Source organism: Homo sapiens, chromosome 4, assembly GCF_000001405.40.
Source record: "Homo sapiens chromosome 4, GRCh38.p14 Primary Assembly".
NCBI classification, from domain to species: Eukaryota; Metazoa; Chordata; class Mammalia; order Primates; family Hominidae; genus Homo; species Homo sapiens.
The window spans coordinates 105288425-105312097 of record NC_000004.12 but is presented as its reverse complement, the minus strand read 5'-3'; the positions used below and the strand labels follow the sequence as shown (position 1 = coordinate 105312097).

The 23673-nt window shown below is 39.2% G+C and overlaps 1 long non-coding RNA gene and 1 pseudogene across 1 annotated transcript in view, besides 1 other annotated feature; one reads left to right on the top strand and one right to left on the bottom strand.

The window, feature by feature from the left end:
- The window catches only part of TET2-AS1 (TET2 antisense RNA 1), a 181528-nt gene that overhangs the window by 40784 nt on the left and 117071 nt on the right, over window positions 1–23673 (top strand). The window lies entirely within an intron of this gene.
- Window positions 5401–5680: an enhancer, noted in NCBI's record as "active region_21779". NCBI's record gives its function as "activates an Ori minimal core promoter by ATAC-STARR-seq in GM12878 lymphoblastoid cells {active_cell/tissue: GM12878}" and the evidence as "EXISTENCE:reporter gene assay evidence [ECO:0000049][PMID:35858748]".
- On the bottom strand, window positions 18152–18434 carry RN7SL89P (RNA, 7SL, cytoplasmic 89, pseudogene; annotated as a pseudogene).

Sequence of the window (23673 nt, the reverse complement as noted above, 5' to 3'; positions counted from 1 at the left end):
GACCTGATGGAGCTGAAAACCATGGCACAAGAACTACGTGATGAATGCACAAGCTTCAGTAGCTGATTCGATCAACTGGAAGGAAAGGTATCAGTGATTGAAGATCAAATGAATGAAATGAAGTGAGAAGAGAAGTTTAGAGAAAAAAGAGTAAAAACAAAAAAACAAAGCCTCCAAGAAATATGGGACTATGTGAAAAGACCAAATCTACGTCTGATTGGTGTACCTGAAAGTGACAGGGAGAATGGAACCAAGTTGGAAAACACTCTGCAGGATATTATCCAGTAGAACTTCCCCAATCTAGCAAGGCAGGCCAACATTCAAATTCAGGAACTACAGAGAATGCCACAAACACACTTCTCGAGAAGAGCAACTCCAAGACACATAATTGTCAGATTCACCAAAGTTGAAATGAAGGAAAAAATATTAAGGGCAGTCAGAGATAAAGGTCGAGTTACCCACAAAGGGAAGCCCATCAGACTAACAGCGGATCTCTCGACAGAAACTCTACAATCCAGGAGAGAGTGGGGGCTGATATTCAACATTCTTAAAAGAATTTTCAACCCAGAATTTCATATCCAGCCCAACTAAGCTTCATAAGCGAAGGAGAAATAAAATCCTTTACAGACAAGCAAATGCTGAGAGATTTTGTCACCACCAGGCCTGCCCTAAAAGAAGTCTTGAAGGAAGCACTAAACATGGAAAGGAAAAACCGGTACCAACCACTGCAAAAGCATGCCAAATTGTAAAGACCATCGATGCTATGAAGAAACTGCATCAACTAATGGGCAAAATAATCAGCTAACATCATAATGATAGGATCAAATTCACACATAACGATATTAACCTGAAATGTAAATGGGCTAAATGATCCAATTAAAAGACACAGAGTGGAAAATTGGATAAAGAGTCAAGACCCATCAGTGTGCTGTATTCAGGAGACCCATCTCACTTGGAGAAACACACATAGGCTCAAAATAAAGGGATGGAGGAAGATCTAACAAGCCAATGGAAAACAAAAAAAGGCAGGGCTTGCAATTCTAGTCTCTGATAGAACAGACTTTAAGCCAACAAAGATCAAAGGAGACAAAGAAGGCCATTACATAATGGTAAAGGGATCAATTCAACAAAAAGAGCTAACTATCCTAAATATATATACACCCAATACAGGAGCACCCAGATTCATAAAGCAAGTCCTTAGAGACCTACAAAGAGACTTAGACTCCCACACATTAATAATGGGAGACTTTAACACCCCACTGTCAACATTAGACAGATCAACGAGACAGGAAGTTAACAAGGATATCCAGGAATTGAACTCAGCTCTGCACCAAGTGCACCTAATAGACATCTACAGAACTCTCCACCCTAAATCAACAGAACATACATTCTTCTCAGCACATCACACTTATTCTAAAATTGACCACATAGTTGGAAGTAAAGCAGTCCTTAGCAAATGTAAAAGAACAGAAATTACAACAAACTGTCTCTCAGACCACAGTGCAATCAAACTAGAACTCAGAATTAAGAAACTCACTCAAAACTGCTCAACTACATGGAAACAGAACAACCTGCTCCTGAATGACTACTGGGTACATAATGAAATGAAGGCAGAAACAAAGATGTTCTTTGAAACCAATGAGAACAAAGACACAACATACCAGAATCTCTGGGACACATTTAAAGCAGTGTGTAGAGAGAAATTTATAGCACTAAATGCCCACAAGAGAAAGCAGGAAAGATCTAAAATTGACACCCTAACATCACAATTGAAAGAACTAGAGAAGCAAGAGCAAACACATTCAAAAGCTAGCAGAAGGGAAGAGATAACTAAGATCAGAGTAGAACTGAAGGAGACAGAGACACAAAAACCCCTTCAAAAAAATCAAATCAATGAATCTAGGAGTTGGTTTTTTGAAAAGATCAACAAAATTGATAGACCACTAGTGAGACTAATAAAGAAGAAAAAAGAGAAGAATCAAATAGATGCAATAAAAAATGATAAAGGGGATATCACCACCAATCCCACAGAAATACAAACTACCATCAGAGGATATTATAAATACCTCTATGCAAATAAACTAGAAAATCTAGAAGAAATGGATAAATTCCTGGACACATACACCCTCCCAAGACTAAACCAGGAAGAAGCTGAATCCCTGAATAGACAAATAACAGACTCTGAAATTGAGGCAATAATTAATAGCCTACAAACCAAAAAAAAGTCCAGGACCAGATGGATTCACAGCCGAATTCTACCAGAGGTACAAGGAAGAGCTGGTACCATTCCTTCTGAAACTATTCCAATTAACAGAAAAAGAGGAATCCTCCCTAACTCATTTTATGAGGCCAGCATCATCCTGATACGAAAGCCTTGCAGAGACACAACAGCAAAAGAGAATTTTAGACCAATATCCCTGATGAACATTGATGCAAAAATCCTCAATAAAACACTGGCAAACCGAATCCAGCAGCACATCAAAAAGCTTATCCACTATGATCAAGTGGGCTTCATCCCTGGGATGCAAGGCTGGTTCAACATACACAAATTAATAAGTGTAATCCAGCATATAAACAGAACCAAAGACAAAAACCACATGATTATCTCAATAGATGCAGAAAAGGCCTTTGACAAAATTCAACAGCCCTTCATGCTAAAAACTCTCAATAAATTAGGTATTGATGGGATGTACGTCAAAATAATAAGAGCTATTTATGACAAACCCACAGCCAATATCATACTGAATGGGCAAAAACTGGAAGCATCCCCTTTGAAAACTGGCACAAGACAGGGATGCCCTCTCTCACCATTCCTATTCAACGTAGTGTTGGAAGTTCTGGCCAGGGCAATCAGGCAGGAGAAGGAAATAAAGGGTTTTCAATTAGGAAAAGAGGAAGTCAAATTGTCCCTGTTTGCAGATGACATGATTGTATATTTAGGAAACCCCATCATCTCAGCCCAAAATCTCCTTAAGCTGATAAGCAACTTCAGCAAAGTCTCAGGATACAAAATTAATGTGCAAAAATCATGAGCATTCCTGTACACCAATAACAGACAAACACAGAGCCAAATCATGAGTGAACTCCCATTCACAATTGCTACAAAGAGAATAAAATACCTAGGAATCCAACTTACAAGGGATGTGAAGGACCTCTTCAAGGAGAACTACAAACCACTGCTCAACTAAATAAAAGAGGACACAAACAAATGGAAGAACATTCCATGCTCATGGATAGGAAGAATCAATATCATGAAAATGGCCATACTACCCAAGGTAATTTATAGATTCAATGCCATCCCCATCAAGCTACCAATGACTTTCTTCACAGAATTAGAAAAAACTACTTTAAAGTTCATATGGAACCAAAAAAGAGCCCGCATCGCCAAGTCAATCCTAAGCCAAAAGAACAAAGCTGGAGGCATCACACTACCTGACTTCAAACTATACTGCAAGGCTACAGTAACCAAAACAACATGGTACTGGTACCAAAACAGAGATATAGATCAATGGAACAGAACAGAGCCCTCAGAAATAATGCCGCATATCTACAACTATCTGATCTTTGACAAACCTGAGAAAAACAAGCAATGGGGAAAGGATTCCCTATTTAATAAATGGTGCTGGGAAAACTGGCTAGCCATATGTAGAAAGCTGAAACTGGATCCCTTCCTTACACCTTATACAAAAATCAATTCAAGATGGATTAAAGATTTAAACGTTAGACCTAAAACCATAAAAACCCTAGAAGAAAACCTAGGCATTACCATTCAGGACATAGGCGTGGGCAAGGACTTCATGTCCAAAACACCAAAAGCAATGGCAACAAAAGCCAAAATTGACAAATGGGATCTAATTAAACTAAAGAGCTTCTGCACAGCAAAAGAAACTACCATCAGAGTGAACAGGCAACCTACAACATGGGAGAAAATTTTCGCAACCTACTCATCTGACAAAGGGCTAATATCCAGAATCTACAATGAACTCAAACAAATTTACAAGAAAAAAACAAACAACCCCATCAAAAAGTGGGCAAAGGACATGAACAGACACTTCTCAAAAGAAGACATTTATGCAGCCAAAAAACACATGAAAAAATGCTCATCATCACTGGCCATCAGAGAAATGCAAATCGAAACCACTATGAGATATCATCTCACACCAGTTAGAATGGCAATCATTAAAAAGTCAGGAAACAACAGGTGCTGGAGAGGATGTGGAGAAATAGGAACACTTTTACACTGTTGGTGGGACTGTCAACTAGTTCAACCATTGTGGAAGTCAGTGTGGCGATTCCTCAGGGATCTAGAACTAGAAATACCATTTGACCCAGCCATCCCATTACTGGGTATATACCCAAAGGACTATAAATCATGCTGCTATAAAGACACATGCACACGTATGTTTATTGCGGCATTATTCACAATAGCAAAGACTTGGAACCAACCCAAATGTCCAACAATGATAGACTGGATTAAGAAAATGTGGCACATATACACCATGGAATACTATGCAGCCATAAAAAATGATGAGTTCATGTCCTTTGTAGGGACATGGATGAAATTGGAAACCATCATTCTAAGTAAACTATCGCAAGAACAAAAAACCAAACACCGCATATTCTCACGCATAGGTAGGAATTGAACAATGAGATCACATGGACACAGGAAGGGGAATATCACACTCTGGGGACTGTGGTGGGGTCGGGGGAGGGGGGAGGGATAGCACTGGGAGATATACCTAATGCTAGATGACACGTTAGTGGGTGCAGCGCACCAGCATGGCACATGTATACATATGTAACTAACCTGCACAATGTGCACATGTACCCTAAAACTTAAAGTATAATAAAAAAAAAAAAATTAAAAAAAAATGCAGTAAAAACAAAGAGGCATTAGGCTCAAAGCAGCATGAAATTTGCCCTCTGTTAGTCATCCAAATCCTGCTGATGGTCCCACAAGGGTCTTTGCTCAAGACAGGGTAGTACTATGAGAAGGTAGTGCTATGAGAAGGACCTCTGGGCTGCCCTTGGCTGTCCCAGCCCAGCTTGACCTTGATGCCTGCAAACACCTGCTTTGATTGGAGTTGTCTTGTTACTGAGTGGGTCCAGCTTTCCAGCGCTTTCCAATTTACAAACTGGAAATTCCTGCGGTGAAAGATGTAAAAATTGTTTTTAAATATTAAATATAAAAGATTAAATATGCAAAAAAAACCTGAGGTAGGTGGAACCCTGCCACTTTTGAGACCTTCCGAGAATACTGATGACACCCTTGAGAAGAGTAAATAACTGAGAGGAGCATCAACTTTGAGGAAACACACATCTCATCTTTCTTCCTCCTTCAGTCTCGCCCACAACCAGTTCCCCCACCATACCTGCTTTGACCCCATTTCCAGGATAGGTAGTACTCTCTTGAGTCATTCTTTCTGTTTCCAGCTGGCTCACATTAATAGTGACGCAGAAAAGCTGAACGGCCCTCTTTTCTCTGAAAGAGCTCATGGTTAGATTTAGCAAGAGGCTTCTGCTCTTTCTGTCCTTCCATTGGAGAGTGTCACGTGTCATTCTGTACAGCCCTGGGGTTTTCCCCTCTTCTAAAATTCTAGTTATGAATGGTTATCATAAGTGTGAGTGACTCACCACTCTTTAATATACCAAGGCATAGGCAAGGCTGTGTGACAGCAGTGGCTGGCATGTGCTTGCAGCCAGACACACACCCACCTACACCCACACTGTTTTGCTTTTGTCCTTCAAGGTTGGAAGTGCTGAACAGAGCAGAATCCCAGGTATTGTAGCATCATGGCATAATGTTTTCCACTGAGGCTTTTCCGAGTCAGAAGTGGACAACCTAATTAGGGGGGTTTTAATGTGTATGTGACATATACTCACCATCCTAAGCTGTGTCATTGGAACTGAGGATGTTTTTGACTTTTCCTTCCCACTCTCTTTCTCACTGACCCAGACCCCTTTCTGTGGAACAGAGAAATGGTAGGCAGTGTATCTTAGCCATTTATTAACGGGGCCCAGACATGATCCCCAGGACTTTGCTGACAGGTCTAAATAAGGCTAATCTACATGTTGCCACCAGGAGCTCTATTAAAAAATTGGACAGCTGGGGGAAAGGCTGGCCTACTGGGCTTTTCACTGTTCTGACTGGGCAGCCCAACATCCTATTGCCCTGATAGAATAGAACTCCTCATATCTGCCTTGCTTTCTACCAGGCTCTGGAGCCACTTATTAGCTCTGTTTTAAGAAAATTATTGATATTCTGTGTCTCAGTTTTCTCAAGCATGAAATGGAGATAAAAATTGTACTTCCCTTAAATTGTGGTTATAAGGATTAAAAGAATAAATACATGTAAAATGCTGAAATCAATATTTAGCCCACAGTACTCTTAAATGTTAGTGATTAGTAATATCCATAGCAAGCCTCTTGCTTCAAGCCCTCTTGGGAACTTCCTAAGCTGCAAATATGTGAGTAATATCACAGCCTGTATGGCAGATGAAAGCATAATCTTTGGAAAGTTGTGTGCCTTGACCTGAAAATACTTGGACTGACCATCACTGCCATCGCAAACCATAAGCAACTGAGCACTTATTGAATATGATTTTCTCAACCTGCAGCTATACTTGAAGTCTGTAGGGGCTGAAACTTACCGTTATTTCCAACGCTGTTTGTAGTTCTACCACAAAGCCTGGCCTGTTGTAGATGCTTAATTGAGTTAGCATTGAGGGGCATCATTTTGAATCTTTATCATGAAAAGGACACTTTTGCTTGGCTGAACCTACATTGACACATAATTATGCAGAGCCCACAGTTTACACATGGGTTTGCTCGATTTGTACATTCTATGGATTTAAACAAATATATACCTGTATCCACCATTACAGTGTCATACCAAGTAGTTTCACTGCCCTAAAAATCTTCTGTGCCCTATTTGTTTCCTCACCTCTAACTCTGACAATCACTGATGTAATCGTTTTCTATTTCTGTAAAATTGGTAGTAATATCCTCTTTCATTTCTGATTTTAGTTACTTGAGCTTTTTTTCTTAGTCATTCTAGCTAAACATTTTGTTGATCTTTTCTAAGAGCTTACTTTTGGTTTAATTTTTTTGTTTTTTTTTTTTTGTATCCTGTATTGTATCTTTGTTGTAATCTTTCCTTCCTTCTTCTGGCTGTGGGTTTAGTTTTTTCTTTTTTTAGTTCCTAAAAGTGTAAAGTACATTGTTAATTTGACATCCTTCTTTTTAATGTAAGCATTTACAGCTATACATTTTTCTCTTGGGTCTGATTTCTGTACATGCCATAAGTGTCGGGGGGTTGTGTTTTCATTTCTCTCAAAATATTTTCCAGTTTCTCTATAGTTTCTTCTTTAACCCATTGGCTGTTTGAGTATATTGTTTAATTTCAATGTGTGTGAATTTTCCAGTTTTCCTTCTGCTACTCATTTCTAGTTTCATTCCATTATAATTGTAAGGGATACTTTGTATGATATCAACCTTTTAACATTTGTTAAGACTTTTTTGTTAATAAATGTTTAACATTTATTAAGACTTTTTTGTTAAGCTTCAGTTGCTTAACATTTCTATTCTGAAGAATGTTCTATGTACACCAGAAAAAAGTTGACTTTGTCTAATATAAATATGGTCATCCTTGCTCTCTTTTGGTTGCTGTTTGCATGGATTACCTTTTCTCATTATTTCACACTCAATCTGTGTGTATTCTTAGCTCTAAAATGAATCTCATAAAATTGTATCCTGCTTTCCTTAATCAGTTTTGCCAATCTATGTCCTTTGATTGGAAAATTTAATCCATTTACACTTAATGTAGTTATTCATTGGTGAGGACTTACTTTTGCTATTTTATTTGGTTGCTGTATACATTCTAGCTTTTTCTTCCTCTTTTTCTCCATTACTGCCTTAGTTGATTTCTTATCATGACAAGTTTTGATTCCCTTCTCATTTCCTTTTGTGTACATTTTGTATATTCTTTATGGTCACCATAGGGACTACATATAATATTCTAAAGTTTTAACAATCTTTTTTGAATTTATACCACTTCAGCTTCAATTGCTTACAAAAAATCCTGTTCTTTCTTCTCCTTCACTTTATTGATGTCACCGATTACATCTTTATACATTATATGCCTATAACCACAGATTTATAACTATTTTTATGCATTTGTCTTTTAAATCATGTAGAAAATTAAAAGTAGAATGAGAAACCAAGTTTATAAAAATATTGATTTTTATATTTGCCCATGTGTTTACTTTCTCCAGAGATATTTATATATTCATAAAACTTTGAGTTACTGTCTAATTTTTTTTACTTCATTGCAAAGGACTCCCTCTAGTATTTCTTGCTGGGCAGATCTAGTGGTTATAAACTCCCTCAGTTTTTTGTTTTTCTGGGAATGTCTTTACTCCTCCCTCATTTTAAAGGCATGGTTTTGCCAAATATAGAATTCTTATCTGAGTTTTATCTTTCAGCACTTTAAATATATCATTCCAGTGCCTTCTAGCCTTCAAAGTTTCTGCTGAGAAATTGGCTAATAATCATATTGGGACTCCCTTGTACATAATAAATATTTTATTGGGTTTATCATAATTGATTTTTCAAGCTTATTGGATGTATATTTGTGTCTTTCATCAAGTTTAGAAAGTTTCTGGCCATTATTTCTTCAAAGAAAGTCTCTGACCACCCACATTTCAGAGACTCCATACAGCTTATATTGTTCAGCTTGATGGTATCCCATAAATTCCTTAGGCTCTGTATACTTTTCTTGTCTTTTGTTCTGTTTTTAGACTTGATAATTTTAAATGTTGTATCTTCAAGTTCACTGTTTCTTTCTTCTGCTGGCTCAAATCTGATGTTGAACCTGAATAGTGACTTTTTAAAAAAAATATTATACTTTAAGTTCTGGGATACATTGCAGAACCTGCAGGTATGTTACATAGGTATACATGTGCCACGGTAGTTTGCTGCACCCATCAACCATCATCATCTGTATTTCTCCTAATGCTATCCATCCCCTAGCCCCCCACCCCCCAACAGGCCCTGGTGTGTGATGTTCCCCTCCATGTATCATGTGTTCTCGTTGTTCAACTCCCACTTATGAGTGAGAATATGCGGTGTTTGGTTTTCTGTTCTTGTTAGTTTGCTGAGAATGATGGTTTCCAGCTTCATCCATGTCCTGCAAAGGACATGAACTCATTCTTTTTTATGGCTGCATAGTATTCCATGGTGTATATATGCCACATTTTCTTTATCCAGTCTATCCTTGATGGGCATTTGGGTTTGTTCCAAGTCTTTGCTATTGTGAATAGGGCTGCAATAAACATGTGTGTATGTGTCTTTATAGTAGAATGATTTATAATCTTTTGGTGTATATACCCAGTAATGGGAATGCCAGGACAAATGGTATATCTGGTTCTAGATCCTTGAGGAATCACCACACTGTCTTCCACAATGGTTGAACTAATTTACACTCCCACCAACAGTGTAAAAACATTTCTATTTCTCCACATCCTCTCCAGCATATATTGTTTCCTGACTTTTTAATGATTGCCATTCTAACTGGCATGAGATGGTATCTCATTATGGTTTTGATTTGCATTTCTCTAATGACCAGTGATGATGAACTTTTTTTCATATGTTTGTTGGCCGCATAAATGTTGTCTTTTGAGAAGTGTCTGTTCATATCCTTCGCCCACTTTTTGATGTGGTTGTTTGTCTTTTTCTTGTAAAATTAAGTTCCTTGTAGATTCTGGATATTAGCCCTTTATCAGATGGATAGATTGCAAAAATTTTCTCCCATTCTGTAGGTTGCCTGTTCACCCTGATGAGAGTTTCTTTTGCTGTGCAGAAGCTTTTCAGTTTAATTAGATCTCATTTGTCAATTTTGGCTTTTGTTGCCATTGCTTTTGCTGTTTTAGTCATGAAGTCTTTACCCGTGCCTATGTCCTGAATGGTATTGCCTAGGTTGTCTTCTAGGGTTTTTATGGTTTTAGGTTTACGTTTAAGTCTTTAATCCATCTTGAGCTAATTTTTATATAAGGTGTAAGGAAGGGGTCCAGTTTCAGTTTTCTTCATATGGCTAGCCAGTTTTCTCAACACCATTTATTAAATAGGGAATCCTTTCCCCATTGCTTCTTTTTGTCAGGCTGTCAAACATCAGATGGTTGTAGATGTGTGGCATTATTTCGGAGGCCTCTGTTCTGTTCCATTGGTCTATATATCTGTTTTGGTACCAGTACCATGCTGTTTTTGTTACAGTAGCCTCGTAGTATAGTTACATCAGGTAGTGTGATGCCTTCAGCTTTGTTCTTTTGGCTTAGGATTGTCTTGGCTATACAGGCTCTTTTTTGGTTCCATATGAAATTTAAAGTAATTTTTTTCTAATTCTGTGAAGAAAGTCAATGGTAGCTTGATGGGAATTGCGTTGAATCTATAAATTACCTTGGGCAGTATGGTCATTTTCACGATACTGATTCTTTCTATTCATGAGCATGGAATGTTTTTCCATTTGTTTGTGTCCTCTCATTTCCTTGAGCAGTGGTTTGTAGCTCTTCTTGAAGAGATACTTCACATCCCTTGTAAGTTGTATTCCTAGATATTTTATTCTCTTTGTAGCAACTGTGAATGGGAGTTCACTCATGATTTGGCTCTCTGTTTGTCTATTATTGGTGTATAGCAATGTTTGTGAATTTTGCACCTTGATTTTGTATCCTGAGACTTTGCTGAAATTGCTTATCAGCCTAAGGAGATTTTGAGCTGACATTATGGGGTTTTCTAAATATACAATCATGTTATCTGCAATCAGAGACAATTTGACTCCCTCTCTTCTCTTCCTATTTAAATTCCCTTTATTTCCTTTTCTTATCTGATTGCCCTGGCCAGAACTTCCAATAATATGTTGAGTAGGAATGGTGAGAGAGGGTATCCTTGTCTTGTGCTGGTTTTCAAAGTGAATGCTTCCAGCTTTTGCCCAGTTAGTATGATATTGGTTGTGAGTTTGTCATAAATAGCTCTTATTATTTTGAGATAAGTTCTACTGATACCTAGTTTATTGAGAGTTTTTTTAGCATGAAGGGATGTTGAATTTTATCGAAGTCCTTTTGTGCATCTATTGAGATAATCACATGGTTTTTATCTTGGTTCTGTTTATGTGATGGATTATGTTTATGATTTGTGTATGTTGAACAGCCTTGCATCCCAGGGATGAAGCCGACTTGATCGTGGTGGATAAGCTTTTTGATGGGCTGCTGGATTCAAATTGCCAGTATTTTCTTGAGGATTTTCACATCGATGTTCATTAGGGATATTGGCTAGAAATTTTCTTTTTTTGTGGTGTCTCTGCCAGGTTTTCGTATCAGGCTGATGCTGGCCTCATTAAATTAGTTAGGGAGAAGTCTCTCTTTTTCTCTTGTTTAAAAGAGTTTCAGAAAGAATGGTACCAGCTCCTTTTTGTACCCCTGGTAGAATTCAGCTGTGAATACGTCTGGTCCTGGGCTTTTTTTTGTTGGTAGGTTATTAATTACTGCCTCAATTTTAAAACTTGTTATTGGTCTATTCAGGGATTTGACTTCTTCCTGGTTTAGTCTTGGGAGGGTGTATGTGTCCAGGAATTTATCCATTTCCTCTAGATTTTCTAGTTTATTTGCATAGAGGTGTTTATAATATTCTCTGATGCTAGTTTTTATTTCTGTGGGATCAGTGTTGATATCCCCTTTATCATTTTTTATTGTGTCTATTTGATTCTTCTCTCTTTTCTTCTTTATTAGTCTGGCTAGCAGTCTATCTATATTGTTGATGTTTTCAAAAAAACCAGCTCCTGGATTCACTGATGATTTTTTTTTTTTGAAGGGTTTTTGGTGTCTCTGTCTCCTTGAGTTCTACTCTGATCTTAGTTATTTCTTGTTTTCTGCTAGCTTTTGAATTTGTTTGCTCTTGCTTCCCTAGTTCTTTTAATTGTGATGTTATGGTGTTGATTTTAGATCTTTCCTGCTTTCTCCTGTGGGCATTTAGTTCTATAAATTTTCCTCTAAACACTGCTTTACCTGTTTTCCAGAGATTCTGGTATTTTGTGTCTTTATTCTCCTTGGTTTCAAAGAACATCTTTATTTCTGCCTTAATTTCATTATTTACCCAGTAGTCATTCAGGAGCAGGTTGTTCAGTATCCATGTAGATGAGTGAGTTTCTTAATCCCGAGTTCTAATTTGATTGCACTGTGTTCTGAGAGACTGTTTGTTATGATTTCTGGGTTTTTTTGCATTTGCTAAGGAGTGCTTTACTTCCAATTATGTGGTCAGTTTTAGAATAAGTGCGATGTGATGCTAAGAGGGGTGCGTATACTCTTTTGATTTGGGGTGGAGAGTTCTGTAGATGTCTACTAGGTCCACTTGGTCTAGAGCTGAGTTCAAGTCCTGAATATCCTTGTTAATTTTCTGTATTGTTGATCTCATATTGACAGTAGAGTATTAAAGTCTCCCAGTATTATTGTGTGGGAGTCTAAGTCTCTTTGTGGGTCTCTAAGAACTTGCCTTATGAATCTGGGTGCTCCTGTATTGGGTGCATATATATTTAGTATAGTTAGCTCTTCTTGTTGCACTGATCCCTTTACCATTATGTGATGCCCTTGTTTGTGTTTTTTGGTATTTGTTGGGTTAAAGTCTGTTTTATCAGAGACCAGAATTGCAACCACTGCCTTTTTTTTTCTTCTTTGCTTTCCATTTGCTTGGTAAATATTCCTCCATCCCTTTATTTTGAGCCCATGTGTGTCTTTGCACTTGAGATTGGCCTCCTGAGTACAGCTCACCAATGGGTCTTGACTCTTTATTCAATGTGGCAGTCTGTGCCTTTTAATTTGGGCATTTAGCCCATTTACATTTAAGGTTAATATTGTTATGTGTGAATTTGATCCTGTCATTATGATGCTAGCTGGTTATTTTGCCCATTAGTTGATGCAGTTTCTTCATATTGTCAATGGTCTTTACAATTTGGCATGTTTTTGCAGTGGCTAGTACCGGTTGTTCCTTTCCATGTTTAGTGCTTCCTTCAGAAGCTCTTGTAGGGCAGGCCTGGTGATGACAAAATCTCTCACCATTTGCTTGTCTGTAAAGGATTTTATTTCTCCTTCACTTATGAAACTTAGTTTGGCTTGATATGAAATTCTGGGTTGAAAATTCTTTTCTTTAAGAATTTTGAATATTGGCCCCCACTTTCTTCTGGTTTGTAGGGTTTCTGCCAAGAGATCTGCTGTTAGTCTGATGGACTTCCCTTTGGGGGTAACCCAACCTTTTTCTCTGGCTGCCCTTAACATTTTTTCCTTCACTTCAATCTTGGTGAATCTGACGATTCTGTGTCTTGGGGTTGCTCTTCTCGAGGCATATCTTTGTGGTGTTCTCTGTATTTCCTAAATTTGAATGTTGGCCTCTCTCTCTAGGTTGGGGGAGTTCTCCTGGATAATATCCTGCAGAGTGTTTTCCAACTTAGTTTCCTTCTCCCTGACACTTTCAGGTACACCAGTCAAACATAGGTTTGGTCTTTTCATATAGTGCCATATTTCTTGGAGGCATTGTTCATTTCTCTTCATTCTTTTTTCTCTAATCTTCTCTTCACATTTTACTTCATTAAGTTGATTTTCAGTCTCTGATATCCTTTCTTCTGCTTGATTGATTCAGCTATTGTTACTTGTGAGTGATTCATGAAGTTCTCGTGCTGTGTTTCAGCTCCATCAGCTCATTTATATTCTTCTCTATACTGGTTATTCTAGTTAGCAATTTGTCTAACCTTTTTTCAAGGTTCTTGGCTTCCTTGCATTGGGTTAGAACATGCTCCTTTAGCTCAGAGAAGTTTGTTATTACCCACCTTCTGAAGCCTACTTCTGTCAATTCGTTACATTCATTCTCCGTCCAGTGTTGTTCCCTTGCTGGCGAGGAGTTGTGATCCTTTGGAAGAGAAGAGGCGTTCCAGTTTTTGGAATTTTCAACCTTTTTGTGCTGTTTTTTTTTTTTTTTCTCATCTTTGTGGATTTATCTACCTTTGGTTTTTGATGTTGGTGACCTTTGGATGAGGGTTCTGTGTGGATGTACTTTTTGTTGATGCTTTTCCTTCCTCTTTGTTAGTTTTCCTTCTAACAGGCCCTTCTGCCACAGGTCTGCTGGAGTTCACTGGTGGTCCACTTTTTGTTGATTTTGATGCTATTCCTTTGTTAGTTTTCCTTCTAACAGGCCCCTTTGCTGCAGGTCTGCTGGAGTTTGCTGGTGGTCTACTTCATACCCTGTTGCCAGGGTATCACCAGTGGAGGCTGCAGAACAGCAAAGATTGCTGCCACTTCCTTCCTCTGGAAGCTTTGTCCCAGAGGGGCACCCGCCAGATGCCAGCTGGACTTCTCCTGTATGAGGTGTCTGTTGACCATTGCTGAGGAGGTGTGTCCCAGTCAGGAGGCATGGGGGTCAGGGACCCACTTGAGGAGACAGTCTGTCCCTTAGCAGAGCTTGAGCGCTGTGCTGGGAGATCCACTGCTCTCTTCAGAGGCAGCAGGCAGGAATATTTAAGTCTGCTGAAGCTGTGCCAACAGCCACCCCTTCCTCCAGGTGCTCTGTCCCAGGGAGATGGGAACTTTATCTATAAGCCCCTTTATCTATAAGCCCCTGACTGGTGCTGCTGCCTTTCTTTCAGAGATGCCCTGCCCAGAGAGAAGGAATCTAGAGAGTCAGTCTGGCTACAGTGGCTTTGTTGAGCTGCAGTATGCTCTGCCCAGTTCGAACTTCTGGAAGCTTTGTTTACACTGTGAGGGGAAAACCACCTACTCAAGCCTCAGTAATGGCAGATTTCCCTCCCCCCACCAAGCTTGAGCATCCCAGGTCAACTTCAGACTACTGTGCTGGCAGCGAGAATTTCAAACCAGTGACTCTTATCTTGCTGGGCTCTGTGGGGGTGAGATCCTCTGAGCTAGACCACTTGGCTCCCTGGTTTCAGCTCCCTTTCCGCGGGAGTGAATGGTTCTGTCCCACTGGAGGTCCAGGTGCCACTGGGGTATGAAAAAATACATCTGCAGCTAGCTTGGTGTTTGCCCAAATGGCCATTCAGTTTTGTGCTTGAAATCCAGGGCCCTGGTGGTGTAGGCACCTGAGGGAATATCCTGGTCTGCAGGTCGCGAAGACCATGGAAAACGTGTACTATCTGGGCCGTAGTGCACTGTTCCTTGTGGTACAGTCCCTCAGGGCTTCCCTTGGCTAGGGGAGGGAGTTCCTCAACCCATTGCACTTCCTGGGTGAGGCAACACCCCACCCTGCTTCAGCTCACCCTCTGTGGGCTGCATCCATGGTCTAAGCAGTCTCAATGAGATGAGCCAGGTATCTCAGTTGGAAATGCAGATATCATCTGCTTTCTGCATTGATCTCGCTGGGAGCTGCACACCGGAATTGTTCCTATTCAGCCATCTTGCCAGCCACCTCTGAATAGTGACTTTTTCAATTCAGTTATTGTTTACAGCTCGAGAATTTTAGTTATAATTTCTTTTTCATATTCTTGTTTTTTTCTGATTTTGTTTAGTTCTTTGTCCATGTTTTGCTTTAGCTCTTTTAGCAAATTTAAGGTTTTTTTAATTGTAGTAAAATATACACAATAATTTACCATTTTCACCAAAAACCAAGGTTTTTTTTTTTTATTATTGTGGTAAAGTATACACCACAATTTACCATTTTAACCATGGACCATCACCATCATCCATTTCTAGTATTTTAAAAAAAATTTTCCAAACTAAAACACCATACCAATTAATCAGTATCTCCCCCTTTCTTCCTACTCCCAGCCCCTGGCAACCACCATACGACTTTCTGTCTCTCTGAATTCAACTACTCCAATTATCAACTACTCCAATTACCTTGCATAGGTGCAATTATACTGTATCAGTCATTTTGTGTCTGACTTATTTAACACAATGTGTTCAAGGTTCATCCATGTTGTAGCATGTGCATGTATTTCCTTCCTTTTAGAATAATTTTCTTCCTCTTTGAAGAATTTGAATAATATTCTAGTGTGTGTATATATATGTGTGTGTGTATATATATGTGTGTGTATATATGTGTGTGTGTGTGTATATATGTGTGTGTATACACACACATATATACACACACACTATTTTTTGTTTATTCATTCATCTGTCAATGGACATTTGGGATTCTTCCACCTATTGTGAACAATACTACTATGAACATGGGTGTATATATCAAGCATGACTGTTTGAGTCACTGCTTTTTAATAATTTTGGATATATACCTAGAAGTAGAATTGCTGGGTCATATGGTAATTCTTTGTTTCATTTTTTGAGGAACAGTCTTACTGCTTTCCACAGTGGCTGCACCATTTAACATTCCCACCATTAATGCACAAGGGTTCCAATTCCCCCATATCATCACTAATACCTGTTGTTTTCTTCTTTCTTTTTTTTTTTATAATTGCCATTTTAACAGGGATAGAATGACATCTCATTGTGAATTTCTTTTGTTTTTTTGAGACAGAGTCTCACTCTGTCACCAGGCTGGAGTGCAGTGGCACAGTTACAGCCCACTGCCATCTCTGCCTTCTAGGTGGAAGTGATTCTCCTGCCTCAACCTCCCTAGTAGCTGGGATTACAGGCATGCACTACCACGCCCAGCAAATCTTTGTATTTTTAGTAGAGACGGGGTTTCACCACATTGGCCAAGCTGGTCTCAAACTCGTGACCTCAGATGATCCACCTGCCTTGGCCTCCCAAAGTGCTGGGGTTACAGGCATGAACCACCATGCCTGGCCATCATTATGGATTTTATTTGCATTTCCCAAGTGACTAGTCAGGTTGAGCATCTTCTCATATACTTATTGGGCATTTGTATTTCTTTTTTGGAAGAATGTCTATTCAAGTTCTTTGTTCATTTTTAATTGGTATGATTGTTTCATTGAATAACACAGTTATTTTAAAGTCTTTACCTAGTAAATCTGTGTTTTGGGGAGGATGGGAAAGGAATTTATTTCTGGAAATTTATTTTCTTGTTTGGAATGGGTTTTACATGTTTTCCTGTTTCCTTGTATGCCTTGTGAATTTGTTAAAAACTGTTTAAAAATTGGGCATTTGGAAAAATAGCCATGTCTCCCAGTCTTTATGGACTGTCTCTGAGCAGGGGTAGTCCTTCTTTTATTAGCTGGGTGTTCTCTAGGCCTTGGGACCAGCCTGAATGGAAAACAAATTCTTCTCCAGTCTTTTCTGCATATGGGTCTATTCTGAGCCTTTGTGTGACTTTCTCAATTTTCCCCATATACAAGGTGGTTCTTGAATATTTTACATTTCCAAAGTCTCACCTTTAGCTTCTTAGGACCTTACATGGCCTATTGTAGGTCTCTACCCATAACCTTTTGCTCCAGGCATCTGCTGGTCTTAGTCTCTCTGTAGCTTTCATAAGCGGCACCCACTGCTTCTGTTTATTTGAGATGTAAGTTAGGCAAAACAGACTAGACCTTCAGGTAGCCCCCAGACAGGTTAGAACTTTGCAAATAAGGTCTTCTCTGCCCCTCTAGTTTATGGGAAGGAACTGGAAACTGGGAAGCTTCCTCTTCCAGACCAAGACTGCCTTGCCAGAGAGGTGGTAGGGCAAAGGTAAATAAAAACAGCGCATGATTTTTTTTTTATCATTTTGAATACAGCTTTTTCTTGATTTTTGCATTTGCTTGATTGCTATAGACCTGTGATTATTTTTCCAGAGCTTCTGTAGGGTTAATTTAGCCAGCAGTTTCTTCTTTTTTTTTCTGTTTTTTTTTTTTTTTCTTTTTTTAAAAGTGTTTCCATGGGGAAGTGAAGACTTGGAGCTTCCTAGTCTGCAATTTTGTTGACAGTACTCCTAAACTCAGATTTTATGACTTTCTTTTTCTGCTCCTGGATGCCATGCTGGAGGTTTTATGACATTTTGGGGGAGTTTATGAGTAGTTTGGGGGATACTGATGGAAATTGATATTTCTGAATGATCTCTCCACTGAAATTGCTCTTAGGTACTATTCCAAATTTCTGGATTTTGAAACTAACAGTAACTAGAAACTCCCACTAGAAGGCAAAGTAAAGAAGGCTTGGAGGGCTATATTTAGAGTTGAGAAAAATATCTTAAAAAAAAAAAAGAAAAGACAGGGTAGGGTCTTTCTCTGTTGCCCCAGCTGGAGTACAGTGATTACCCATGGACTCCATCCCCCTGCTAATCAGCACAGGAGTTTTGAACTGCTACAGTTCTGGCCTGGGCTAGTTTACCACTCCTTAGGCAACCTGATTGTCCCCTGCTCATGAGAGGTCACCATATTGATGCCAAATTAGTGCAAATACCTGATCAGCCTAGTGCACTACAGCCCACAACTGGACTCAAGCAATCCTCCTTCCTCAGCCTCCCCAGTAGCTGAGGCTACAGGCCTGAGCCTCAGTGAGAAAAATACTTTTCTCTCAATCTCATTTCCTCATTCTCTCAATGAGGAAATCATTGAGGGTACTACTCACAAGATCAATGTGTGTTGTTTATGAGATCTTGGGGGAGAAGATTTTTCTTTTTCTGATAGGTTTTAGAATACATAAGTATACTCTGAAAAGTAGACAGGATATTTATCATCTTCATTTGCCTCATGAGGAAATTGAAACTTAATTAACAGGAGTTTTAGCCAGGTTTTTTCTTCCTCTTTTTTCCCTTCCTGAAAATGGAGGATTCTTTTTTTTTTTTTTTTTTTTTTTTGGAGGGGGGAGGCTGTATTTTTTTTTCTAGTTTTTTTAAAAATTATTATTATACTTTAAGTTTTAGGGTATATGTGCACAATGTGCAGGTTAGTTATATATGTATACATGTGCCATGCTGGTGTGCTGCACCCATTAACTTGTCATTTAGCATTAGGTATATCTCCTAATGCTAACCCTCCCCCCTCCCCCCACCCCACAACAGTCCAAATGGAGGATTCTTATTTGCTGATGTGCCTCATGCATCTAGAATTGTGCCTGGAACATACAGAGTAGGCAGTTAATAAGTATTTGTAACATGAATGAATGGGAGGAGCTAGTTGTCCATAGTAGGAAAAGTGATGACTTTGTTATCTTTTTAAAACTTTATTTAGTGAACTTTATAATGAAGTCTAACCTATATCAGAAAAGAGTACCAATCATAAGTATAAAGGTCAGTGAGCCTTCATCAAGTGCATACACTCATGTAACCAGCTTCCAGATACAGAAAAAGAATATTATCAGCACTTTAAAATCAGAAATTCCTCTGTCTCAAGCCCTCTGCCGGTCACTACCCACTACCAACCCCCATCTTCTCTAAAGTGTAGCTACCCTGATTTTCAAAATACATGGATTTGCTTTGTCTATTTTGAACTTCATACGCACTAAATAATACACTATGTACTCTTGTGTATGGCTTCTTTTGCTAAATATTTATTAGATTCATCCATATTATTGAATGGGTATAGTTGAACTTTGTTACATTTTCAAACTTTATAAAAACATTTTACTTTGAAATTAATCAATGCCAAGTGAAACTCAGATTTATAGAAAATTAAACTCCAATAACTATCATTTTTGGAACACATAATGACAGAAACTATACCAAGGACTGACATACACGAGTGATCTCACTTAATTCTCTCAAGTTTCCTGAGGTGTAGGTGTTATAATCCTCATTTTACTGACAAACTCATAGAGAAGTTTACTAATTTGCTAATAAATAACAAGTTTGTAGTTGATGAAACCCTGTCTGGACCCAGGTCCCTCAGTCAACCATGCTTATGCTTTATTAATCACCACTCTATTTGTCTCTGTCACGTGAGACTCTTTTAAGAAATTTTTAATTGAATATGCATTTAGGTGAAGAATGGGGAAAAGTGAGGCTGGTATTAACTTAGAGACAGCTGTCTTCTATCCATGTGCACCACGTGATAGAACAGTTTGCCAGGGCCTCTTTGCTGTCATAAACTGTGTGTTTGCAGACTCCTTTAGGTCTTGTTCTTTCATCACAACAGGCTAACTCAGGAACTCGGAGCCTAGGAGGAAAGAGGCATGGACCTGGCCTCCTAGCCTCTGTATTATAGATGTGGGTCTCAGGAGAAAGTCAGGAAGGACTGTGTTTATTTGCCTCATGAGGAAATTGAAACTTAATTGACAGGAGTTTTAGCCAGGTCTCTTCTGCCAAATTCAGCCAAATTCTCCTTTTACCTTTATTTTTTTTTTTAATTTAAAAATGCTTTATTTGCCGATTTAATAGATTTGACCAACATTTAACTCTTGGTTTAGATCTTTCACTTTCCCAGTTCAGTAGGGGAAAAAAGCATATCCTGTCTTCTAGTCCTGTCCCTTTTAACATACTCTGCCTTAAAAATACTTTATTCTGTTTATATAAATAAACAATATAAATAAATAATATATCTGTTTCAGGCACAGATATTATAAACATTAAATTTATGAAATGAAAATACAAATATTGTCATTTCCTCACTTTTTTCTCTTTGATTTTTTTTTTCTGCTGCTAGCTCTTAAATTGTTTGGGCTTTTTATTAGTGTTTGATATGTATTTGGTAAGTTAGAAACTTGTGATGTCTCTCCAACTACTAGAGTTTCCACAGTCACTGGGGGACAGTAACCTCATCTAAGAGCAATTTAAGGCATTATGAGATTATAGACAGGGAATTATTTCCTTGCTTTGTGACTATCTTCTCTCTAATTTGGGAGTCCTAGTTATGCTTCATGATCAAGTGTTCTTTTGCTGCTATGTAAACCTGTTTTGTCAGAGGAGGAATCGGAGATCTTGCTTATGGGAAGAAGGGAGAAAGGGCTATAGGGCTCAGCCAGCAGAGCTCTATGATGTGCTCAGTAGAAGAAACCTCCTAATGTGAAGAAAGGGGAGGAAGAGAGATGAAAAAAAATTTTGTATTAATAGAAAAAAACATTTATTGCTACTTCACACTTAAAGCTTTACATTCGTATTTAATCTTCACCATAACCCTATGATGGGTGCATATTATACAGATTTTTTTTTCAAATGAGGCTCAATGTACACAACTGAAAAAACTTCAAGTCTGAATCCAAAGCCAGGTAACTTCTGCTACAGTTGTCCCTTGTGTATCCGTGAGGTTCCTTGATCCCCCAAAGATACCAAAAATACAGGGATGTTCAAGTCCTTCATATAAAATGGCTTAGTATTTGTATATAACCTACGCACACCCTCCCATATACTTTAGATCGTCTCTAGACTACTTCTAATACCTAATATAAGAGGAATGCCATGTATATAGTTGTTATAAAGTATCATTTAGGAAATAACAAAAAAGTCTTTACATATTCTGCACAGATGCAACCATTCATTTTTTTTCCCGAATATTCCCAATGGTTGATTGAATCCACATATGTGGAGCATCAACTGTGTACTGTTTTCTGTGCTTCATTTCATTCCTTAAAACCAAAATAAAGAGCCTCCCAATGAGAGAAGGATGTGAGAGCACCACAGGCAAGTCAGTTTTCAAGCAACAACACTCAAATTTCTATTGACATTACTATTTTTTTTGCAAGTAATAAAAGCAAGTGCTCAGTGAATATGCCTATAAGTCCTTAATTTCATGAATTATCAGAATTCATTCTTTTTGGGGAAGTGAGATAGGAGGTCAAGTAACTTTATATAACTACTATTTCACTAAATAGAATTCTCATTTTTGTGTGAATTAAGAATTGATTAGAAGCCTGCCTGGCCCAGATCAACTGGGAGCTGGAGTGACTTACCAACTCGGGGAAAGGGTGAGTGAGAGACTTCCACATCCCTACTGTAAAACTGTGGAATCTGGGCTGTTGGAGAACACCTTGACCCTCCCAACCCCTGAAACTAACAGGGAGCTGCAGGGATGTCACGGAATGAAACTGCTCCAAGAAGGGATCTTGCAGTGAGCCCCATACCTTTTCTGAGACCTAAGCAGTTATGAAAAGGAACCATTTCCAAATCTAGCCTGTAGCAGACTACACACTATCCTTAGGACCCAGTGGTGCCAGGACTGAGGCATTACAGAAACTCGGGCTGTTGCTGATGCAACTTGGGAGTGAGCTGGGAGTGCCTTCTCACCTGGCGTAGGAAGTGAGCAAGGTGTGCACTGCAGCTGCTGCTGCCAGGAAGTGGGCAACCCCAGGATGGAGATTAGGATATGAACAGGGTGTGAGTTGCCTTTGGGACTTGCTCTTACGACCAAGAAGGTGTAAGCTAGGCATAGGCTTTCACTGCTGGAGGGGCCAGCCCCACTAAGACTGGGGTATGAGTGGGGGTTGCATGTTTCTCACCCATTGGCCCAGACTATGACCACCCAGGCAAGTCCTCAGTGCAGCTGCTACTGTCTCTTTACCAAGCAGAACACTCCACCTGAGGCCTGGGGATTGTCCACCCATGCCCATCATGGCTGGTTGCTGCTGTCACCATTAGGGAACCGGAGCACAAGCCTGCCCAGCTCATTTTGCCCTCCCCCCATCCAAGATAGAGCACATAGCCTGGGGATGTGGGGATTGCCCAACCAATCCACCACCTCATGTAACTCAGCACTCCTACAGGCCTGAGGTTGGGCCTTAACTCACAGCCTGTACCTCCTCAGCTGGTATATACCTGCAAGCACCAACTGTGGACCTGGAGACAGGCCCGCCCAGCCCATCACAGCTACTGCCAATATCAATGCACACAGATTAGGACCCAGAGAAATCATCTTGCCATGGCTACTGCTATTGCCCATGCCACAGCAGCTATCTAGGAGCCTGAGAACCCCTCTACCCCTGCCACTACTGGCATCTGAGCAAGCCACCTTGAGGCCCAAGAATCAGGCCACCAGTAACAACCAACATAGGTTCTCGGGTACATCATCTTGAAGCGCAAAGATAGGCATGCTCAGCCCACCACTGTCACCACTGGGGCCTTAAGACTGGCCTACCTGGCATCTTAGTCCCCAGTACAACTTCACTGTATCCTCCACTAATAACTACACCCTAACCAATTGCGGAAATCGCAGAAACCAATAACACTGTTTACAGCTAAAGAAATCATATGGAGACTACCTACTGCATGTACCCAGAATCAAAGTTGAAGTGCCTTACTCAACCAACATCATAGATACATCTTCAGGAAAAATTCTCCCATATGAAAGTAAATTTAAAAATAGGAAGAAGTGACTATTAAACCAGATGCACAGATATTAATGCAAGGACACAGACACAAAGCAAGAAAATACAACATCCCCAGAAGAACACAGTAATTCTCCAGCAAAAGATCTTCATCTAAAGGAAATATTTGAAATTCCAGATAAAGAATTCAAAATATTGATTTTAAAGCAGATCAGTGAGATATGAGAGCATTCTGACAAATAATACAAGGAAATTAGAAAAACAATTCAGAATATGAACAACTTTTCAAAAAGATATTTGAAAAAAGAACCCAATAGAAATTCTAGAAGTGGCAGGGTGCAGTGGCTCATGCCTGTAATCCAGCACTTTGGAAGGCTGAGACGGATGGATCACTTGAGGCCAGGAGTTCAAGACCAGCTTGGCCAAATGGTGAAACCCTGTCTCTACAAAAACTACAAAAATTAGCCGGGCATGGTGGCGTATACCTGTGGTGCCAGCTGTTTGGGAGGCTGAGGCAGGAGAATCTCTTGAACCT